The sequence below is a fragment of the Homo sapiens genome, chromosome 16, assembly GCF_000001405.40.
Source record: "Homo sapiens chromosome 16, GRCh38.p14 Primary Assembly".
In the NCBI taxonomy this organism is placed as follows: domain Eukaryota; kingdom Metazoa; phylum Chordata; class Mammalia; order Primates; family Hominidae; genus Homo; species Homo sapiens.
This window is the reverse complement of record NC_000016.10, coordinates 79,069,114-79,088,971: the sequence shown is the minus strand read 5'-3', so window position 1 is coordinate 79,088,971 and position 19,858 is coordinate 79,069,114. Positions and strand designations below refer to the sequence as shown.

At 42.7% G+C, this 19,858-nt stretch overlaps 1 protein-coding gene across 2 annotated transcripts in view, besides 1 other annotated feature; it reads right to left on the bottom strand.

The window, feature by feature from the left end:
• WWOX (WW domain containing oxidoreductase) overlaps nucleotides 1-19,858 on the bottom strand; it is a 1,113,014-nt gene that overhangs the window by 123,696 nt on the left and 969,460 nt on the right. The gene's annotated exons all lie outside the window — the stretch shown is intronic.
• Nucleotides 11,117-11,637: an enhancer, noted in NCBI's record as "NANOG hESC enhancer chr16:79111232-79111752 (GRCh37/hg19 assembly coordinates)". NCBI's record gives its function as "activates a minimal SCP1, AML or CMV promoter by ChIP-STARR-seq in naive and primed H9 embryonic stem cells {active_cell/tissue: H9 hESC(naive and primed)}" and the evidence as "EXISTENCE:reporter gene assay evidence [ECO:0000049][PMID:30033119]".

The following is a 19,858-nucleotide window of genomic DNA, read 5'->3' as shown; positions in this document are numbered from 1 at the left end:
CTCCCTCATTACACTAAACATTAAGACAAAAAAAATAGATTTTAAAAGTACACTCCAATAGGAAGTATCCTTTGGAAAAGAGGTGATCAATATGTTCAGTAAGCTTTAAAGGATGAGGGTCAGAATGCATCCTGGGCTTCTATGGACTTTGCCGTTGGGTGGACGATGAATTCTCTTTGAATATCTGCAGTATATCTAAAGCAGTCTTAGCAGCCCACGGTAAGTAGCAACTGTGGTAATTAATAAGTATTATGCGGTTCTCAATATGGACCACATATTTGACAAATGATGTACCCACAGAAGGAGCCCCCCTGCAGATGTTATCATCTGAGAAAAATGGAAAGTAAAGTGGTCTCCATGGAGTGAGTCTAGAAAACCTCTTTTAGTTTCAAAAAGAAACCCCCATAGAAAACATCGCATTTCTTTATGTTGTCATTTTTCTGACTCCGTCATATTTGCAGCGGCCCAGATAAGACTTGCTGATGACTGTGAGGTTATCCCTTGCACCATTCACCTGTGCTCATCAGGCTGCCCACGGCTCAGGGCCAGACCTACGGTGTTCAGCAAACCCTGTCTTTATCTGATCAGAGTCTCAGGGGAGCAACTCCAGCTGCAAAATTCCTGCCGCTACATGGATTTTGCATGGCTGTGCTGGAGAAAACAACCAACGGGCTGCAATGCTCTGCGTCCTCCCTTTACCTTAAAACGTCCCATCCACAGGCTGTGCTTAGGGATCCAAGTCTAGGCTGCTTGAAGGCCACCCCGTGGACTGAGCCTAGCTAGTTCAAGCCTGGCTGAGGCCCAGTGGCATGGCCTGGGGAGATGAGATGCTTCTATCTGATGGTTCTCCTTCAGGAGCCTGAGAGAGTCAAGAGTACCAGATGAGCTCACACTATACAGAGGGCTCAAAGAGGCCAAGACCAGGATGCACCAATTTCATAGGAAGCAAAAGTGATGAATAAGCAGAAGAAGCTAGAATGGAAGAGAGAAGCCAAGGAGATGGTAGTGGAGCCTTGGACTACAGACCCATGAATGCCTCCTGCCAAGGGTCCCTAGGCCTCCTTGAGTCCAGAACATCCTTCCACATCCTGTCCTTTCCGAGGCCTGAACTTTCAGCATTTCCTGGTCCCCTTGAGCATACATGCTCACATTACGTGAGGTGGCTTCAGTGATTTCCTCGCAACCAAGAGAACGTACTAAACTAAAAGAGCAGAGAAATGGCCAAATTCCAGAGAAAGTGTTGCAAGTACCAATAACTCTATAACTTAAGTCTCCTCTTTCAGCAGGACCACAAATGCAACGATCTAGGGTGTTGCCATGGGCCAACAGCCATCGGCAGGTAATTCTTCTCTGCCTCCAATATGAAGTCAACTCCCCAGTGCTCAGGACTTCTTGTCCAGCACAGAGTCTTGCTCTGGCTTTCTCCTGTTGGCTGGCTCCTTCCAAGCTTGTTGTTCTAGCACAGGGTTAAGATGAGGATTCTTAGACAAGTTATTCCAAGCCTTGCCTGACTGGCTGTGAAAATGAAAAGCTGCCTACAAACCACCCAATGTGACTCTCAAACACAGTGGTGTCTACGGAGATAAGCATTCTTTGATATGTAACTGGCTTTCTTCTCCCCTGCCCATGCTAGCTTCAGCTTCTTCCCTGCTCAACACAGGAAGAACCAAGCATTTTCTGAGAACATTCCGGAGGTCCCCATGCTTCACACGCTCCTGGCTGGGGAAGAGAGGCACTGATCCATGCCACTTTTGAAGATTTAGGTGAAGGGCTTGAAATCATGGCATTTCCCCCAGACTGTTCCATAAATTTCATGAATACTCTCCTCATCATGCCACTTGGCTTCTTACCTCTAAAATGCAATTCCCATCTCCATCCTTACTCCATCAGTGCCTGGTAGAGGGTCTTGGGGTCATCTGAGCTGTCCATCAGGAGCAGATGGGGACCCCCAGGTATCTCCATTCCCTAGGCTGCCTCTCTCACCATATCCCATTCAGACACGGGGCTTCCTAGTGCTCTGCAGAGTCTGTACTAGAGATGTGACTGCAGCTCTTACTGAACACATAAACTCTTTGTTTTATTTTGTTTTGGGACAGGGTCTCACTCTGTCACCCAGGCTGGAGCGCAGTGGCACAATCACAGTTCACTGCATCCTTCACCTCCCAGCGTGAAGCAGTCCTCCTGCCTTAGCCTCCTACATAGCTAGGACTACAGGCATGCAGCACCATGCCTGGCTAATTTCTTTTTATTTTTTGTAGAGACAGAGTCTCCCTATGTTGCCCAAGCAGGTCTCAAACTCCTGGACTCTAGTGATTTTCCCACCTTGGCCTCCCAAAGTGTTGGAATTACAGGCATGAGCCACTGCACCTGGCCAGGACACAAATTCTTTATCCACACCCCAGAGTCAGGTCTCTAACTCCAGAGGGAGAGAAGCATTCATTACTTTAGAATTTGGATAGTACTGTACTGACAAAGTCTTGCTTCCACCACAAGTTTTGATAAGTTAATCTATTTTCAAAAGGTCATCTTAAGTAAATTAGAGCTCAATACCCTCAAAATGTATCAAGAAACATACCAGAAGACACGCTTTCTCATCTCAAAGCTTGCATTTTCTTTGCACAAATTTGACTTTTGCATATCAATCAAATTAAAATAATAACAGTAATAATTTGTAATAAGAAACTAGAACTTAACAATTGGAAGGATGAAAAGTTGCCTGAACTTCTCAGACAGAAAATGCTCAATTAACATTTATTGAGCATGTAATATGTGCTGGGAATTTTCATTTTTACAAAGAGAAAAAAGTGGCAATGTGATCCGTTTAAAGAACATTGAGAGCAGCCACAATATTGACTGTTAGTTTGTTTTCTTTCTTACTGACTATACTGCTCTTTTTTTTGGAGATGGGGTCTCACACTGTTGCCCACGTTGAAGTGCAGTGCCACAGTCATGGCTCACTGCAGCCTCAACCTCCTGGATGCAAGCGATCCTCCTGCCTCAGCCTCCCAAGTAGCTGGGACTACAGGTGAGTAGCTGGGACTACAGGCATGTACCACCAAGCCTGGCTAATTTTTTTGTTTTTATTTTTTGTAGTGATGAGGTCTCACTGTGTTGCCCAGGCTGGACTTGAACTCCTGGCCTCAAGTGATCCTCCAGTCTCAGCTTCCGCAAGTGCTGGGATTACAGGTGTGAGCCACTATGCCTGGCTACTGACTACATTTCTGCTAATACTTCTGAATGCCTTTTGACTATAGGGTAACTGGTTTTGGTAAGGAATAAAATGTATGCATTTTTCTAGGTACTAACAGTTATTATAAAGATGATATAATTTTGAAAACAAAATAGAGAAACAGGTTTTTCTATGTGGACCACTTTTACCTGTCAGTCTTTGAGTAGACTCAACCTATTGAGAAAGTTGCATTTCCAGAGAAATTTTCTTTATAGGAAATTAGTTTTCTAGGTGGTGAAGGAGCAAAGGAGAAAAAAACCAAAACCTGAGGCTGTGCCCACATCGGCCCAGTGAACTGGGAAGAAGAAAAGCTCTTTTTCAAAGCTCAGCAAAGCAGACCACCCAGTGGGAACCTCCCAGAAGAGTGAAAAGCATCATCTGTCCACTTCAACCTCATATCATTTTCTTGGCCACTATTACTACTGTAATAACCTAGACAGTAGCTCCTTCATCATTGGGAAAATCTAAGAGACCTCCAGAAGGTGGTTTGGAAAGAGAAAACAACTAATATAGCTCCCAACAGAGTCAAGTGAGAGAAAGAGAGAGAGAGACAAAGACAGAAATGGTACTCCCGTGTTTTTGTCCCTAAACATGTATATGCAGATATATTTACATATGTATATTGTATATATATATGTATATTTAAGTGTATAATTGAGTGTGGCGACTCATGCCTGTAATCCCAGCACTTTGGGAGGCTGAGGCGGGAGGATTGCTTAAGCCTAGTAGTTCAAGGCTGTGGTGAGCTATAATTGTGCCACTGCACTCCAGCCTGGGAGACAGACAACTGTGTCTGTATTTTGATTGCAAAATTATATCATCTTTGTAATAACTGTTAATACCTAGACAGGGTGACCGTGTCTGTAAAATATACATATATGTACAAATGAAAGGTTGAATCAGTAAATGAATACATGTCCTACTTTATGTCACTTCCACAGACTCCTTTCTTCTTTGTATAAAATGCAGCAAACCCTAACAAGGAGTCACTGTGAGGATTAAAAGAAATAATACTTAGAAATTACTTGTCCTCCAGGTGCGGTGGCTCATGCCTGTAATCCCAGCACTTTGGGAGGCCGATGCGGGTGCATCACGAGGCCAGGAGTCCAAGACCAGTCTGACCAATATGGTGAAACCCCATCTTTACTGAAAATACAAAAAGTAGCCGGGCGTGGTGGCATGCACCTGTAGTCCCAGCTACTCAGGAGGCAGGAGAATCGACTGAACCTGGGTTGCAGAGGTTGCAGTGAGCCGAGACTGTACCACTGCACTCTACCCTGGGCAACAGAGCGAGACTCCATCTCAAAAAAAAGAAATTACTTGTCATAAGCTGTTATCACCATTTTAGGAATTATTTATATTTTACATTATTTATTCCTGGTATTATTTGTTGTTCTTATGACTTATTTTTGGTGTGATTTATTGATCTTTACATATTTTCTCTATTTAGAGTTCTACTTCTCTTTGTACAGCTCTAGCACAGTCAGTGTCCTTCCTCACCTCTTCACTAGGAACAAGAAATGCATTTGCAAATATGCACATCTTTCTTCAAGCTGGCCTTCTGAACACCAAGAGTGCCTGAGAGCTGCGGCCCCACCCTCCTTTGGTCTCCTCAATCAGCTCCTTCCTGTTTCTCCCTGGTTTCTCAGCCACTCTCCACCACCATGTAAATCAAGAAGTTCACGATGGTCTGGTTCTGCCTGTGGAGACTTAAAACTGATGCGAGTGGTTAACCAAAACAGCCCCCACAGAAACTACAAGGGTGGGCTCCGATCGGGAGTCAGAAATTCTTTCTATGAAAATGCAAAGCACGACCTCATAAAAGAAACCCACCGCAGGAAGATGAAGAAATGTCAGTTTGCATTAAAACAAAATAGGAGGATGAACATTTCAACCATCTGGCAAAAGAGTCTCCTATACAAATACATAAAAGTTGCCAAGGAGTTAGACAAGACCTCAGATGGGAACTCCGGAGCTCCACACGGCTCCCTTTGTGCCTTAGTGAAAACTTTGAAGCAAATTCAGGGCCGGGTGTTAGTGATCGGTTTACCGTAGCAGTATATTCCCTCTGTGCCGTGCAATTGTCTTTGTTTTCCTTCGAACCTAACTGTCTTATCGTGCATTAGAGCCTGTAATGCATTTTGGAAGGATGTTGCAGCCATACGCGTGCATAAGCAGATGAATAAAACAACACTGGTGTGAGGTTTTGTGAGAAAGAAAACGTTTGTGTCAGGTGAGATAGGCTAGGTTCTACTGCAACAGCCGATACCTCCAAAATCTTAGTGACTTTACACAGCTTTGTTCTTGACATTAGTAATGGCCAACAGGGAAGCTCTGTTGACTGTGGTCACTCAGGGACCCAGGAGGAAGACATGGGTTTCATCTGAACATTGCTTCCTTAATTGCTGGGGCATAGGAAGGGGTCAGGGTGAACCACACACTGGCTCTTAATATTTCCATCTGGAAGTGTCACTCACATTTCATTAGGCAAAGCAAATCACATGGCAATGGCAATGCTTATTGTCAAAGGAGGCAGCAAAGTGCCCCTACCTGCGCCCTCAAGTAGGGGAACCGCAGTGTTAGGGACTCGCCATAATGACTCACACTGGGCTCCCAACTATGGAGTTCCTTAAATGTGTCAGGTTCTTCATTCATTATCTTGTCTAGATTTACAGTGAAGATGAAAATGGCTGAAACAAGAGGCCCCAAGTTCTCTGCTGTGTCTTTGGTAGGAGTGCCAGGTAGGCATTTTGGGAACCACTCACACCACTCTCTGATGTAGATTTCCACATTTTAGGGTTATCTTCTAGTATCCCCGGCCTCCCAAAACCGAGCCCCTCCTGAACTTATTATGCACATCTGCCACGGATTACACATACAACAGCGGACAATTCATGACCTCTGTAAGCACACACAAGGTATAAAGCTGAAAGCAAAAAGAAAATACTCAATAAATATCACCTCCCTCCCATCTTCCCTACACGTCCCTTCTCAAAAGTTTGCATCACATGAACAACTCTTCACCTGCCCTGGGAACTGCACAGATGTCCAAATGTGCTGGCAGAAGCTAAAAGAGCAGACTGTGGATCTTAAATGGCCTGTAACTATAGGTATAGGATGAAATCAAAACACTCGCGACTTTCTGGCGGGCTGTGTTTCATGAAACAGTGATATGAACCACAATGATCAACCCATGAAGATGGACCAAGATGCGAGGCACACAGTTCCTTTGGGCTACTTTCAACATCTCCATAGGTCTATAAAGTGGCCAGAGAAGTAGCCATTCCTGAGTACCTGCTTCTCCTGGCCATGGGAAGGTGACCTCATGACCCTCCCCTGATGTAACTCTCATAACAAATCCATGCAGTTGGTATTATCTGTGTCTTACAAAGGAGATGGATGCTCTGGAACTCCGCTGAGGTCACACCCTGGGAAGAAGCAGAAACGGGTCTCAAATCAAAGTCCATCTGACTCTTTCCTGTTCTCCTCTGCCTCTGTTTCCCAAGGCGACATATATTAATATTGCTTTTAATTTTGCTGAATCTTGTTTCAGGTGAGTGTCAGGGAATCAGATTTGTTACAACCTCTCCCGGGCTTTACCCACTAGCTGGTGCTGAGTGAAGAGGTTCTAGGCTCAAGGATGTAGTTGATGATGCTGTATTTTCGCTTGGCAAGGAATGGCTTCACTCCATCAGATTGATTTTGACATAAACCACACTCCTGTGCTTACAGAATTTCTCACGAGTGGTCTTCTGGTTCTGGCGTATGAATCTGATATCAACCACCCCTTTGCAGTTAAGCCAAACCTTGAGGTTTTGCTACGGTTTCACTGTGAGTGAACTCGCCCATCAGAGTGAAACTAGGATAGAAAAAGGGGTCCTAACCCACAGAGGTGGGAGGAAGCAATCTGCTTTGTCACTCAAGCACGACAGGTCTTCTGCTGGAGACCAGAGGCAGCCAGGCAGGAGCATCCAGCGTGAGACAGGAGCCCCCGCAAGCCATGGTTCACACTTGGCATGGTCTAAATTCCTGTCACTGGGCTATTCCTGGTCTTGGGTTTCTGAGAATTTCAATCCATTGATACGGGTCTCACTCAAATATAATGCAGTGAGAAAAGTCTTGACCAATGAGGAAGCGAAGGCTCAAAGAGAGTAAAGATTTTTGTTCAGGGCCCCACAAAGAGCAGATAGCAGAGTTGAGAATGTTTGATTCCAAAGTACAAGGTCTGTCCTGTTATAACACATCGCCATGAAAATGACTGCAGAAAGCAGATGGCTTAATGAGGATAGTTAGGCTCATGCCTGTAATCCCAGCGCTTTGGGAGGCCAAAGTGGATGGATCACCTGAGGTCAAGAATTCAAGACCAGCCTGGCCAACACGGCAAAACCCCATCTCTACTGAAAATATAAAAATTAGCTGGGCATAGTGGTGCACACCTGTAATCCCAGCTCCCTAGGAGGCTGAGACAGGAGAATCACTTGAACACGGGAGGCAGAAGTTGCAGTGAGCCAAGATGCTGCCACTGCACTCGAGCCTGGGCAACAGATCAAGACTTTGTCTCAAGAAAACATAGACTTGTTCTCTCAGCACCCCACACTCCACTGGATCTCGATTTTCTTATCTCCACACAGGGGATGGAAACAATGACCCCTGGCAGCTATACCAAAAAACTTCTATAATATAATAGTTGTTTTCAAATCTATGAGTGAGAAGTAAAGAAGAGCCTGGTGGGTGTGCATGTGCGTGTGTGTGTTTGGAGGTATAAAAATCTTTTCATCACTATCTAACTACACTAGAAGAATTCACTTGCCAAATAAATTATTATCTTAATTTAAGAGACTGGGTGATGCATCTGTTGGGATACCTGCCAAATATACAAAATGCCTTTGCTCTTAGAATAAAAGCCATGCTTTTCCTTTTTATTCCTTAAAAAATTCTTTTAGAGATGTTGCCTCCCTGTGTTGCCCGGGCTGGTCTCAAACTCCTGGCTTCAAGCGATCCTCCCACTTCAGCCTCCCAAGTGGCTGGGATTACAGGTATGAGCCACTGTACCCGGCTAAGCCATGGTTTTTCAACAAGACCCCGATGCCGGATACAGATGACTGGACCAAATGTAGATACTGGGTCCAGATTGAGTCCATCCAAATCCAGGAATTTGGATTCGAGATTCAGTGTTAGACAATCTGGTTCTGGGTATGGTTGTGGCTATAATGTGCAAATTCCTGATCTTCTGCAACGTGCAAAGAGGAGTATAAACAGCTGATTTGTGGCAAGAGAAGAATTGAATTCTATCTCCCAGGAATTTGGATTTGGGATTCAGTGTTAGGCAATTTGGTTCTAGGTATGGTTGTGACTATAATGTGCAAATTCCTGATCTTCTGCGACGTGCACAGAGGAATACAAATAGCTGATTCGTGGCAAGAGAATAATTGAACCAGATGTACAGAGAAAAGCAGAGATGAGAGACAGAGAAAAGGACTCCTGTGTGGGTTTCTGTCTCTATCGCTAGTGTCACCCCTCCCAAGGCTTGGCTGTGTCACTGTGGGATTCCACGGGATTCTCTGGTATCCTGATGCATCATCACACCCACTCTTCCTCCTTGGCTCCCTAACCTTTTTTCCTAAGTTAGATTGAAAGGTTCCTATTACTCACAACCAATAATCCATGAGGGCCATGATTTTTCTGTTTTGTATATCCTGCTATATTCCCAGTGCCTAAAGCAGTGCGTGGTATCGTAAGAAATAAATATTCAACAAATACCCGTAGAATAAATAAAATCTGAAATCTTAATCAGCATCCCAGGGGGTGGAAGGAACAGCTTGAGGATCTTTCCGCTTATTTTCAGCCTGCCAAATTTTCTATATTCGTGCAATGGGGCAAAGCTATGCCCAGAGAAGCATATGTTGTAATCACATTTGTGTCCAACCCTCTCTCCTTTATTCCAAAGATACATGCTTGCAGAATTTGTTGTGTCTGCAAAATAATGATATAGTTCCCTGTTGCAAAGCCTGGGGTAGACATAAACAATTATGTTGTAATCACAATTACAATCATTAAATTTATGAAATGCCACAGAAGAAGGAGGTAAGATGAGTGAAGGATGGTGAAAGACTTAGTGAATGACAGGTCAAAGCCGAACATTTAAGGAAAGTTTCAGAAGGTTACAGGCAAAAATTAAAGCACCAGGTGACTAGGGGAAGTGCAAACAATGGGAAACATATGGTTCAAGAATGTAACAGGGGGTTGGGGCAAACAACCTCTAGGAAGAAAGACTGTCTCCCAAGGTCACAGGAATGAGTCACCTGGGATGCCTAGATGGATGGATGGATGAATGGATACCGGATTGATGGCTGGCTGGCTGGATGGGTGACACTTCTGTCATATTTTTTTTTGTCGGGGGGAACCCAAGAAAAAAAGAGAGGCAAAAATTGGATATGGTAGTCAGAAGTGACGTGAGTCACTTATGGGCTAAGGTGATTAAATACCCACTGTCTTATCTCCATTCTTTCCTTCTACTGTTGCTAAGACCGCGGATGCTAAAAATAAAGGTGGTGGTGACAGAAGATAGAAGGAGCCCGTGTCCCTAAATATCTACTTGGAAGAGAGCATTGCAACTAGGTACAGCTACCTTGGATGTTACATGAACAAGAAGTCATTTTATATTATGTTAAGGCACTAATTGTAAAGTTGTTATAGCAGTTAGCCTACCTTGATCAATGCAGGTCAAATGTATTATATTTTAGCATCTCTACTGATTTCTATCAAATTTGGGGGGAAAAATAACTTCAGGGCCAATCATCTTTGATCTCTGGTTGGGAGAGGCCTAACAGGGAAATAAAGGAAGTATTTATTGAGCACCTATTATGTGCCTGGCAATTGGTTTAAGCACTTTAAATGGACCATGTCACTTTAACCGTTAGGGATAGGTCTCATTATCACCACTTGGAGAAATAAAGGCCAAGAGAAGTGAAGACATTCTAAAAGATGGACCAGAAATCATCATGGTTGAGTCCAATCTGGCTATAAACTGTTAAATCTCCCTTTATCCATCAAGTCCTTTAAACACAGACAACAAATTCAGTTCAATTCAACAAGTGCTTATGAAGTTTTTACTCAAGGCCAGGAACTGTGTTAAATGCTCCCAGGAACTCAGATTCTCCTATGGCGAGGGATGCTTAATGAATGTACACGGTACTATGCAGTCAAGGTTAAAAATGGAGTTTGGACAGTGTGCAGAGGACACCTACAGAGAGAAATGTTGCGTGGCATTCAAGGGACTCTCCTCTCAACTCCAGCCACCCTGCCATCTCCACACACAGGACACTTTCTCCTTCCCGAGCCATGAGAATCAGAGAAGTGATTCCAAAGCTATGCATGGCCAGGAGCAGCCCTGTGATGCCTGCCTTGCAAGTAACAAAACCCTAACCCAAACTCAGGGGAATTTGTCAACCTATGGAATTCAAGGAAGAGTTGTGTCACCAAACTGTGAAAAGGTCAGGGAGGGAGCAAGACCTAGAAAAATACTGGAGCCACAGACTTTATCTGAATGTCTGAAATGACCTCTCTTCACATTATGGGCAGCCTGAAGGCCATCGGCTCCCAAGTTTTATGTCCTAGAGCTTTCACCAGTGCCAGGAAATGGAAACTTCCAGTTCTAAAAAAAATCTGGGGAGGGGACCTTTTTTTCCCCTGAGCTTGTGGGAAGGTGCTTAACCACACACTAACCTTGATAAAAATGGCACCTCCCAAGGTAGCCACAAGAGGAGCAGGTAGGAACAGAGTTTCCTGGAGAAGAAGGGGTCAGGGATGGGTGCCAAAAACCAACCCCACAGGCGTCCACAATGCCTCTCGGGAGAGTTGAGTAAGAAGAACGATGCAGAACACTAGTGAACGATCCTTGCACAGGACTTCTTTGCAGGAGTTTAGGAGAATACAAACTTCAATCTTTGAATTTTCTTTCAAAGATCTCTATTAGCAAATGATAACAAAACAAAAGGATTTGGAAAGATTATTATTTCTTACACCAACACACAATTCTTGCTGGTATTTCATTAGATGCTACGAGAGATGTAAATCCTGTGGTTTGAAAAAAAAAAAAAAGGGGGGACCATTTAAGGACATTGGGTGGAGGCCCTTTCAGCAACAATGGAACTTTAAGTACTTGACAATTTGTATGCTGTCGGTATGTAAGCAATGAGCCTCACAAACCCCACAGCTGCATGTTTACAGTTTAGACCATCTCTGTGAATTGCATCCTTATGTTCTGTATTTTAAAAGGCCATTTTCAGCTCCTACTTAGCTTCCACTCAGAAATACCATTCACATCAGGTCTCTGTGCATGCATGTGGTTTTTTAATCCACACATTGTCGGGACCGGCCACGGCAATTTTCCCCATTGTGTTTGCTTTCCATGCCCTGTTCCACGCTGAAATTCAGAATTCGGATGTTTGTCAAAACGCAGGGGCCCTGTTTGATCTTATTACTTTGGCACATTTTAATAGTGGGCAAAAATAAAACAAAAAAGAAACTAATGGGTTTTAAGCTCCTGATTGGTGTCAGGCCCAGGGTCAAGTACTTTAGAGCTCCGATTAATTCTACAAAGCACGGGCTTAGGGGTTGGAGAGCAGTGGGTTCAAATCCTCATCCGGCCACCTTTTTGCTATGAGACCTGGACAAATTATTACGTGGAACCTTAGGGAATTGATGATCGGCTACTGTTTTTCCCTATAAAAACAGTCATTTCATACAGTTCAACCTAATAATTGACCTCTTTAAGCCTCACCTGCAAAATAAGAATAATAATACCACCTTTCTCTCAGGGTAAGCATGAGGATGAAACAGGACAATACGCATAAAACAATAAACACTAAGACAAGCGTCTGATACATGTTAGCCATTGTTGTTATTCACATGCGTTAAGCAGTTTCATCTTCATTATAACCCTATGTGCTAGGTATTCTTATTCCCATTCTGCAGGTCAGGAAGCTGAGCAAGAAGATGTTACCAATAACCCGACCACAGTCACATAACACCTAAGTGGGGGGCTAAAGACGAAGTTCGATCCGTCTGACTCTCAAGTTTGTGGTCTTCCCATACCGCCTACCTAGCTGTGGTAGGTACAGATAGAATCACTGTGACTGGGTCATGAAGGGGCCTGGATAGGCTGAGGTCCAGAGGCCAGAGCTCATCGGAGAGTTAGCTTAGATGGTTCTAGGACAGCGGGGGCTGGCACGGAGGATGCACCGGACAAGCCAAGGAGCCAGCAGCATTTTTTTGAATGCTGTGAAAAAGATACTACCTTGAGTCTTCCATAGATTCACAATAGCTTCAGAAAATTCTCATGAAGGAAAAGGGTGAGAATGAACACTTTGTGAATTAAGATGAAAAGGCTACATTTCAGGGTTTCCAAGAAGGCCCAAGATAGTAAGAAATCAAGTCATCCAGATACTAGGAAAAAGTGATTCTTTTACTTAGATTTCTGTAAAGGGAGCAAACACGACACTGTGTGTGGTCACACATAACCCACAGATTTCACTAAAATGTGACAGTTTGTTCCCTGATATGAAGATGGGATGTGCCTCATAATATTCCTTTGAGAAAATAATACTCAGCGTAGGCTGGTCTTACTCTTACAAATCTCGGCAATGTATCATTGGCTCAAATCTTCTAAGTAACAAATTTCTAAGAAACATTTTCAAGAAAATGGTTCTACATATACTGTAAGAAGAAAAAAACCCCACTTCAACAAATACTTTATTTTTAATGTTGAAAACTGGGGACTCCACACATGATCCAACGTTAGAGCAGATGTTAACTAAATTTAAGTCTGCCCTTTACAGTCAAAAGCAACAGGAAAAAACATAATTCTGAAAAATAACTTAATATGTTTTTTTGAGATAGTTATAAGGGAAGGAAACAGGCTGCCGAGGTATATGTACACCATGTATGTAAACCTCTCTTGCTTCCATTACCTTACTTGAAAAATCACCAGATGAGACCCCATCTCTACTAAAAATACAAAAAGTAGCCAGGTGTGGTGATGTACACCTATAGTCCCAGCTACTCAGGAGGCTAAGGCAGGAGAATCACTTGATCCCAGAAGGCGGAGGGTGCAGTGAGCCAAGATCATGCCACTAAACTCCAGCCTGGGTGACAGAGCAAGACTCCGTCTAAACAAAAGAAAAAAAAAAAGAGAGAGAGAGAAAGGAAAAATCGCCAGAGGTTGTTATTATACAGAGACAAAATTATTTAACACATGTAAGCAACAATGAAAGCAACAATCATATGGCTACAACTATATTGTAAATAAAAACTTAGGTATAGGGGAAAAAGACAGAAAGGAAGTACTGAAAAGTCCTAAAGGTTTCTAGGTTAAGGTGGTGGAAGCATAAGTGATTTTTTTTCCCTTCCTGTGATCTGCCGGTGTCTTGAACATACATGTATGATTTTTACAATGGGTTAAAAAACGAATGTAGAATAAGTAACTCTGCTACTATTCTGCCAGTAGTTTTCAAACTTAGGGCTGAGCAGAACCACCTGGGAAGCTTCATACAAATGCAGACTCTTAGGATGCCTTCCAGAGATTCTAATTCAGTTGGTTGTAATCTTCCAAGTGACTCAGGAATTATATTTTGAGAAACAGTGTTGTAGTGAATTCCAAACAAAGTAATAACTATTGCACTTCCATAGTGATTTTTCATACTGAGTTTCTCTGGGGTCTTTGGGGTCACTGAGGAGTAGGGAATAGTCGAATGTGTAGAAGTTGAGAGAGCTGACGTTTCCCACTTAAAACAATGTCCTTCCCTCACATCTGTTGTATATACTACACTTTGGCAAAACGTTTATTTTTCTTTTTTTTTAAAGGTTCTGTATCTAAAAACTAAAATCAAAAGCCTTGCAAGAGATTTATCTCCATTTTCTGAGTTCAGAATGGAAATGGTTACATCAGCATTTGATTTTGCAAATAACTTGCTATTTTCTGAGCTGGGGGAGTTAGGCTATCTCAGCTTAGTTATCTTTGTAGAGGGAAGAAGAGGATAAATAACATATGCTGATCAACTTACTATATCTCAGATTCTTTACAAACATTACCTCATCTAATCCTCATGGAGACTCTTAGGTTCTTAGTATTCCTAGCTTATAAAGGGAGATACTTAAGTGTAGAATGCTACTCCATTTCCAAGTAGGAGTGTAGAGATCCCCTCATGGTCACTGTTGTCCCCAAAATCCCAGGTCTCTCCATTCCCCCACACTGCCCATTGATGGGTCAGCCAGCCTCTCCAAATGGAGAAAATATGACCAAAAAAAAAAAAAAAAAAAAAAAAAAAAAAAAAGGACTAGTGACATTTCAGTCAGGATGAGATTCGGCTTTGAGTGACAACGGTGGTTTTAGGAAGTCAGATGTTTACTTCTCTCATTTAAAGTGTGGGAAATGGGGGTGACAGCCAACCATCATTAGAAACCCAGGTTCCTGACATTTGGGGCTGGATGATTTATTATATTTTTTAAAAAAATAGAAATCCAGGTTCCTTCCACATATTTGCTCTTCTATCTTCAACACACAGCTCCAACTTGGGGTCGGAGTTGCCTGCTCGAACTCTAACTGCTTTAACGTCAACATTCTAGTCAGCCGGTAAAAGAAAAGGGCCACAAAGCACCCATCCTCAGCCTGTATACACTCGTAGCAGAAGTACTGTATTGCTGTGCTTCTCGAACTAACCATGGTGAAAGGCTTTTTTTTTCCTCAGACCTTTGGCAAATAACTTTGTGAAGGGTACCCTCCTCCAGAAGAGATTTTAAAAAAACATTGAGAATTGCTAGAAAAAGGAAATTAAAAAGGACATACAAAATATAAGCCCATTTTAAAATTACTACCTGGAACAGACATAAGCTTAATTTTGACAAATAGTTACGAACTTTTCTAAAGGTTGACTCTCAAGCTCTCAACTTATCTCTCAGTGGATCAGTTATAAACCCTACGGAAGCCCTGAGATACGACAGTTCTGCTAACGTCCCATTTACTAGAACTTCATCAAAGGATCACTCTAGCTGCAAAGGCAAGCAGGGAAATATAGTCTCTTCCCAGGCTGTTGAAAATTAGGTATTTTATTAGTAGGTAATAAAGGGAGAACAGACATTTGAAGACACTCAGCAGTGTCTGCAACACTGATCTTAAAATGAAACAAAGTCTACGGCTGTCTGTAGGAGACATAAACTCAAATCTCCACCTAAAATGATAAATCCATATAACTCTATAATAACAAAGCCAGGCGCGGTGGCTCATGCTTGAAACCCCAGCACTTTGGGAGGCCGAGTTGGGTGGATCACCTGAGGTCAGGAGTTTGAGACCAGCCTGGCCAACATGGTGAAACCCTGTCTCCACTAAAAATACAAAAAGTAGCCGGGCATGGCGGCGTGCACCTGTAATCCCAGCTACTCAGGAAGCTGAGGCAGAAGAACCACTTGAACCCAAGAGGTGGAGGTCGCAGTGAGCTGCGATCGTGCCATTTCACTCCAGCCTGGGCAAAGAGAGAGTAAAACGGTGTCTCAGTAATAATAATAATAATAATAATAATAATAATAATAATAATAACGAATAACTACTATAATGTAAAAAAGCGATAGAAAGCTCTTTTATGTACCATAATGAGGATTTCTAGATAAAGGAAATGAATACACAGATTCTGCAACTCTCACTGAGGCTAGCACACGTCTAGATATGGGTGTGCTGATGAACAGCCACATGGAAGCACATTTCAACTAAAAACAGTGATGACGTTTGTCAATGACCCGGAGTCCAAATGGGGAAAACACTTCCACTTAGCTGAAAGTGGCAACTAAACTTCTCATCATCTCAGCCCAAATTCAGGCCAGAAAACAGCTACACACATTCTGGTTCTAAAGACATGCATTTGAAAATAAGAAATCAAAGACCAAGCATTTACTAAATACTAGGATTATGTTGTATGATAAATATACAGGCAAAGTTGAAGAATTGCTGGAAGATTTAAGAGAAAAGAAGAGGCTGTTGTGGCCCTGATGATGACGATGGTGATGGTGATGGTGATGATGAAGATGACAGCTAAAACAAGTACTGCTAACTTTGATCATTAATAATTATAGCTTCGATAATGATACTGAATATCTTGTAAAGCGCTTAATAAATAAAAACGTCAACTGCAGAAAAGCATGTCAAAATGAATACAGATTAATGAGATCTAGATGAATGGTGTAGCTTTTCTCTGTCCAGAAATAAACTCTTACCACATCTCCTCTCTGAATCTTCAAGTCTATGTTGCAAAGTAGCAACACCAAGGTGAACACTCATGAAATTCTGTCCATGTGGAGGTCTCATGCCTATGGGAGGCAGTGCAACTTTGCAGGAAATGTGACCCAGGACCTCTGCAGAGTTGAGAATGCATATGATAGGAATACTGTTTTCTGTTTTTGGGGGGTTGGGGGGACAGTCTCATTCTGTTACTCAGGCTAGATTGCAGTGGTATGATCATAGCTCACTGCAGCCTCAACCCCCTAGGCTCAAGCAATCCTCCCATCTCAGCTTCCTGAGTAGCTAGGACTACAGGCACACTCTACCATGCCTAACTAATTTATTTTTCTTTTTTTGTAGAGATGGAGTCTCACTGTTTTGGCCAAGCTGGTCTCAAACTCCTAGACTCAAGCAATCCTCCCGCCTCTGCCTTCCAAAGTGCTAGGATTACAGGCATGAGCCACCATGGCCGGCGTATAAGCATTTTTAAGCTAATACAAAAAAGAACGAGTAAACGAATGAATGAATGAACAAGTGAGCCAGCTCACACAAGGTTTGGCCACCCTACCACCCAATGAGACCATCTGGTGCACCAGACATGGAGTTGGTTGCAACACTGCTGACCATTGTCTCCAGAGAAGCAGAGCTCCCAACACACTTGTCCCTAGGCAGAATCTGGTTTAACTCCTACCTCTGAATCAGAGCCACTCATTTTTAGGCCAACAGATCAATTACTTGAAGCAATCAAGGGACCAACTTAAAAAGCTACGTTTACAACGTGAAGGGGAATGCGGGGCAGGAGGCCAAGAAAGACCCAAGAGTGGTTTAGCAAAACCAGCAGAGAGTAACTGACTACAAGCCTGAGCGTGTAATGGGACAGGAGGCTGGCAGAGAGCCAGTGAAGCCTTTCTTAGGACTCTAAAAACCTGAAACAGCTCTCCTAGACAAGGAGAGTTGAAGCAATAAAAACAGTTTTCAAACTAGAGAGAAAACAAAATGAAACTTGGTTTGGGTAATTGGTGAACTCTCTTGGGTAACAGGGCTCTAAGAGATGAGGGGGGAAGAAACGCACAACCCCTTCTGTATTTCACACCCTCTCAAATGGTTGAAAAGCTTTTCTGGCTTCCTTTAACAAGTACACCAACTTCAAAAGCTCAGAGTATGTTTTCTCCAAATTAAGACAAAAAAGTCATTGTCAGGTTGTCAAAAATGTATGTAGCAAGTAATAATAAATGCTCTTAGGAGAGGAGTACAATGTGAGACTCACCTGAACAACAAAGCCCCTTAACTGTGTTCATCAGAAGAAAGTGATCATACATTTGATTAAAAACTGCTAGCCTGGAAATGTACAGGCAGACTTCACAGTCTATGGAATAAATGGGAATCATAAAAAGAGAAGGTCAGTGCTTTGCAACCTTATATGCTGCCTCCATGCATTCACGTATGGGCTGCATCCCTCGAGAGTACACTCCCTACATTCTGAGTCCCAAAGTATGTGGGGGTAGGGAGGGACATAGTAAGAAACCACCTGCCCTGGAAGTGTATTGTCAAAATGTTCTGTGCTGAGTGACGATGCTACTTCAAAAAGTTTCTGTGGAGAATATAGTCAACACACCCACATTTCTCTTCCACTCCCTCACCAATATAGAATCACTAATCTAAAGAGATGAGAAAAACTTCATCTGTGTTCTTTGAAGAAACAAATCAAATGTTAAAAGAGGCCTTTCCATTGATTCATTTGAATTATCCACTTGAAGCTTGCACCACTGACTAAAGGAAGAAGCAAGCCAGCTCCTGGATTGTTGACATCTCTCGCATACCCTCTCACGCCCTGAACTTCTGTGCCTCTTCCTTCCTCCCTAGCAGCAGCCTACCTGCTGCACCAGTCCGAACCTGACTGCCCGTCTGCCTCACTCATTGCCAAGGAGCTTTGCTCATCTGTGTACAATCATGATAGAAGGCAGACGCTCCACCCTTCCAGACTATGAGAATTTTCCATCGGTGGTGAGTAAAAATCCTAGCAATCCATCAAGAAAAAGGGCATCTGGACTGATACGTCATTTCCAAAGACAGCCAGGAGACCATTTTGCTGGAGGACACTTTAAAAGCACAATTTACTTCTCAACAGTAATCTCAGCTTAGGGCCCTTCCCAGTTGGTTTCTGGAAAACACACACACACACACACACACACACACACACACACACATCAGAAACACATTCCTAAGAACAAACTGGAGCATGATGTTCTCTCAGACCAAGTGTGGGTTTCAACATTTACAAGTTTTATAAACATTAGGCACTGCAGCTGACCTGCATTGCCTTGGTATTAGGGAAATAGCTTAACTTTTCTCTTTCAAGTCAATTTGCCCAATCTTTGAATGATAAGTCTTGAGGAGGAACTATCAAACTATATTAGGAATATTCTGCATTTATTTTGGAATAGGAAATAAATTGTTTTTCACAGAAGATGTTTCAAAATAATTCTAAATGCTTGAATACTAATTGGTTGCCTTGAACATCCTTAAATATGTGACACAAAGGTTTGGGTAACTTTTTGGTCATAGAGGGGGAAAAAATTTGAAACAAGGTGTTTTTCAATGAGTCAATTTGGGCCAAAGTTGGTTTACATAGAGCTCTTATCTGAGACTAACTAACACCAGTTAGCAAAACACAGGTTAACCCCAGAAACCTCCTCCTCCTTCCCGGCTTCTCTTCTTTCCCTAATAACACAGACATTGGCCATCTATGGTGACCACACACTGCCTCATTTAATTGACTGCTACTTTCTATTTGCACACTGACATTTAGATGTTTTCTTTATTTTTTTTCAGTCCAGAAACCCACTTACTTCAATAATGGTTGATAACAGCATACTTTCCACTAGCACTGTTTATTAGCTTTAAAAAAAAAAAAAAACCTACCAATAAAGATTCTTTTTTATGTGACCCTTTTCCTGCCAATAGGTTGTGATAAATAAGTCGGTTCTTAGTTCCTAAGTTTACGTAAATGACTACAGTAACGTGTGAACAAGACAGAGATGTAAAGGTCTTTAAACCACAGTTTAACAAAAAGGTCCTGTCTGTCAATGAAATAAAGCTGTTTTGAATTTGTTCCCAATCACTGGGCTCTTTTGCTGGAAGCTCATGTTGGCTTGGTGGTGATTAATGCGAAGCCACACGGCCTTCGCTGAGTGCGTAAGAGAACTGGCAACTCTAAACAGCATTAATCGTACTCACAACTACTTGCTACATGCTGAAGTTTTCTTTATTTTCCACCATTCCAGGTCAAGAGGATACCCAGGTGCATTTACCTTCGCCAAGCGCAGCGCAGGGCCCACCTTTCCCCGAAGTGAGATGTCACA